Here is a 4,674-nt window from a genome sequence, read left to right as displayed (position 1 = left end):
TGTTAGCATGGTTTCAACACATTATGGAAATACATTTGGAGAGATGGAGTACTCGATGTATATTATGTGGGCCACTTTAAATCAAAGGCATCATTATTTATTCAACTTTCAGACATTGCCATGGTAACTTATACCTTTATATCAGGTAGGTCCAAGGCCAGAGACTTTAGTATCATTCCAAAGAATATAGAGATATTTATATACATATTTCTTTTAAAATAATATTTAAGAGTTTTACTACAGAAAGTCTGGCTTCAACATGGAAGCATTTTTCCTTTTCAAGATTATACACCTGCATGAAAGTAGGTGATTTCCTCTACATTTAGTTTTTTCACAATAGCAAAATAGACTTCTTATATATTGCATTTAAATTGACAAGAAATGTAAGATGTAAAGTTCCATGTAACTTTTTGTATTGTGAACTGTTCTCTTTAAACATACTCCAGATACATTGCTGATTATTTAATACAGTACAACTTGATCAACTTAATTAGAAGTGTTATGATGAACAAACTGTGAAACCAAATGTATGTTAAAACAGTAGGTAGAGCTAACTATTATGACTAAAAGGGAATTTTAATGTATCCTCAAAATATACATCAATTTTCTTGTTATTACTTGTTTCTATAATGCATTTCTTTCTAAACCTAAAACTATATGTATAAAAAATAAATATCTTCAAACTAATTCAACAGTTTGCTACTTTATGTGGTATGTAAATAAAGTCTTTTATTTAATTTCATACACATTATCTTATGCATTATTTTATTTTTTCTTGAAGGAATTCATCTTTCAAGGTCAAAATTAGTATGTGTTTACACATGAGAATATTTTCTTAATGTTATTACTACCTGCAAATACATTCTTCCATAATAACACACTTGTAGTTTTCATCAGAAAGATAGCACAAGCCTTTTTAAAGTCCTATGAATAAAATTTATACAGGGAGGAGAACACAAGTATGGTGAATGCTCCCACTTCCAACAAAGTCTTAAGAAATCCTCCTGCTTCAAAACATAAACACAATTTCACAGGATTTTTATTTGATCATAATGTGGGCAAGAAAACTGTATTTCTATTCTTTTTGATAGTAACAGTTTTACTGAATTTGTTTTCACTTTCCATCAAAAAAACACGTAGCATATGTTGTTGATGTGGATTCTCAAACCCATTCAGAACCAGTACAGTCACTAGAGTAACATAGCATTCTGATTTTAAAAGCAGCTGATTGCTTATAGAAAAATGATATGCATCAGACATTTAATCAGAAAAGAAAAATGAGAACATGTCTTTCATGTTGGATATCATTTAACTTACAGGATGATGTGAAAATAGGTTGGTTATAATTTTAACAAAATTAAAACCCACTTCAACTAATGAAAAAAATCAGACACTGAAGAATCAAATATCTACCAACTTAGCTAGTATTACTGTCCAAATAAATATCTTCCATTGCACTGAACATTAGAATTAGAAATTCACTATATGTTCAGACATATTTTAATTATGTTCCAGAATTGCAGTTATACTGGTTAGTGTTCCCATTTCCCCACTCTTGCCTTCATCCCACCACTTTCTTCCAGGGCTCAAAATATTAAGTCATGGTTTTGGTAGCTATTGTAGATTAGAGCTGGCAAAACACAGTGTGTTCACTAGGTTTTATGAGCATAAACATTAAAATGTTACATAAAATGTACCATAATTTACTTCACACTCCAATCTAAGATGGTTTAATGTCATGACAAAAGGTGAAATGACTTAAGTACATTTTATATTTTGTGCATTTAGTCCACCACAGGCATAGATGTTCAAATGCTGAGTTCTTGGTCTTCAGTATCTCATAGTGCTGGATGCTTGAAACTATGACAGAAACTTGTAACACAGACTAACCACAAAGTATCAGATGTTTCTTGCCATTTGTGGTCTTGCAATAAAAATGTGTCAGATGAGGATCACAAGGATAGTATTAAAATCATAAGATATATTATGCAACTTGTTCAGATGTTTTCTGACTGCAGGGAGGCCAGACGTTTCTTTATTCAATATGTACTTCTCAGTTCCCATGCAGTAGTTCTCTATATATTCTGCCTAATGTAACTGCCGTACATCAATATTGAAAGTCTTTTTATCTTCAAGGTTTAGTTGATTCATTAACATATTGACATTGTCCGTATTCCAAACCCAAGAATTACTTGTGAAATACTCAAGTAACATCACAGCTTTGTGAAGATGAATTATTGTTTTCATCATCCTTGGGCTTCTTCCAGTCATCCTGAGGTAGATATCATCCAGGAATGCTGAGGCCTTATGGCTTACAGCAATCCAGTAATGATATAAAAGGTGATTGGAGGTTAGATTTACATTGGGCCATCTGAAGGCCTGTTCGAGAGGATTCCTCTTGAAAGTAGAAATTACATGGTATTAAACTTCACCCCAGTGGAAATGATTAGTGCTATCTGTTGTACAATTATATGACATGAGGTTTCTTGTTCTATTAACTCCGGAATACCAGGCTGCCACAAGACTGTTGTTGACAACTACATCTACAGGAACAAGATCTTCAAGGGCATTATTGGAGACGCGCATTGTTCAAAGAATTCCTTTCCCTGCCACAATAAAGAGACCACTTGGTCCATTAAAGTTATCAATCCATCCTGGAAAGTTCTTTCCAACTGGCACCAACAATAGACGGCCTTACAATCTCCACATTTAGCTTTGCTCCTTCTTGTTGTACAACATATTCTGCCAACGCTTTTGTGTCTATGTATGTGTCAGGTCTGTCTCCTATCAACTTTCGCATGATATCATTTACTCGGCCATAATCCATCCACTCTAAAGAATCAATCAGCTTCTTGGGATCCACAGGTGGTAGATAGACAGAGCAAGACTCCGTCTCAAAAAAAAAAAATATTTAAGCATTTACCTGCACTTTTTCACCCTAAAACTCGATCAGGTCAAATTTCATATACTAAGTGTTAGCAGTTTATTCTCTGGGAAACAGTTGTCTGGATAACATAACTTTAATCTCTGGAATTTGTTGGACAGTTTAGTAGCAGAAACACAACCTCACTAACTTAGTTTTAGCACAGTCATGTCAGCGCTTTTGCAGAATATATATGGTAAATGCAGTCCCAGTCAGGGTGACAGTCCCTTCTCAAGCCCAAACACTATGTGATAGAAGAGAAAATTTCTGATTTCAGATCCATTTAGTCCATACCATTTCTACTGGGCTAGGCATGGAGGAATCTCCTAGTTAACTCACAGTGTGTATTCATCTAACTCTTTACAACACAGACAACTGTCTGGCTGCTTTTCACAGTTTACTGGGGACTCACAGCAACCGAGATGCATTCTTAAGCTGTTCTGCTCATACCACAGAGCACACCCTCACACTCTCTTTTAGTGAGTCTCCTACCTTGTGGCAGCACAAGTCTCACTAACATCATGGACCAGGCCCATATCAGTACTTGGTTCTATTGCCTTTCTCCAGTGATTCCTTTTCTAGCCTGGCAGAAAAGAAGTGGGAAAAAAATGTAGAAAGGACAGACATGGTATTCTTAATAATGCATTTTTTTTCCGATTCTCTTTCTCGGTCTCTTTTTCTCTCTTACTTTTTTTCTTCCTTCCTTCCTTCCTTTTTTCCTTTATCCCTCATTACATTCCTTCCTCTCGTTCTATCTTTCTTAATTAATATAATTGGTTTCCACAGCCCAGTTATTGTGAATAATGCTACAATCAACATGGGAATACAGAGATATCTTGGACATACTGATTTCATTCCCTTCAGATATATACCCAGTAGTGGGATAGCTGGCTTGTATGGTAGTTCTATTTTTAATTTTTGGAGGCTCTTCATACTGTTTTCCATAATGGCTGTACTGATTTACATTCACACAAATTGTGTGCCAGAGTTCCCTTTTCTCTACATTCTCACCAATACTTGTTATCTTTCATCTTTTTGATAATAGCTGTTCTAACAGGTGTTAGGTAAAAAACACACACACGTACGTTATTTGTAAGTCTTCTTTGGGAAATTTCAATTCTAATCCTTTGCCCATTATAAAAAGTAAGTTTATTGGTATTCTTGGTTTTTTTATATTTCCTTTTTCATTAATAACCCCATATCAGATGTATGGTTTGAAAATAGTTTCTCTTTATTTTATAGATTGTCTCTTTAATTTATTTTTTCTTTCACTTTGCAAAAGCTTTATTTGTTTGTTGTAATCCCAGTTGCCCACTCTTGCTTTTGTTGCTTGTGCTTTGGGGATTATATCCAAAAAAATCATTGCCCACATAAATGTCATGGCTGTTCCCCTATGTTTTCTTTTAGCAGTTTGTCAATTTCAGGTCTTAAGCTTAAGCCTTAACCCCAGCCCTCCTTTTTGAAGCCATTGATTTTTTTTTGATAAATTAGGTTATTTTCCTTATAAAAATGTCCCACACTATGAATATGGCCAATTGATTTATTGTAGTTTTGTTTAAGTGTCTATGCTAACAGTTTAAATTAGTAGTTAGATCTAGAGTTTGGGGTACATTCAGACTTTATGTGCAAGGAAAAATATTTAGAGGTAGCACTGAGGTACTTCTCATATTGCATCATAAGTTACATACAATCTAATCGCTCCACATTTCATAATTTAAAATTGATCAGTGGCTTAAATGATGCTAGACTAA

General features: G+C 34.2%; 1 pseudogene; it reads right to left on the bottom strand.

Moving 5' to 3' along the window:
* Positions 1–1,633: 1,633 nt before the first annotated feature.
* FAR1P1 (fatty acyl-CoA reductase 1 pseudogene 1) lies at positions 1,634–2,878 on the bottom strand (annotated as a pseudogene).

The sequence above is a fragment of the Homo sapiens genome, chromosome 13, assembly GCF_000001405.40.
Source record: "Homo sapiens chromosome 13, GRCh38.p14 Primary Assembly".
Taxonomy (NCBI): domain Eukaryota; kingdom Metazoa; phylum Chordata; class Mammalia; order Primates; family Hominidae; genus Homo; species Homo sapiens.
The sequence above is the reverse complement of the archived record's forward strand: the minus strand, read 5'-3'. Positions and strand labels throughout refer to the sequence as shown.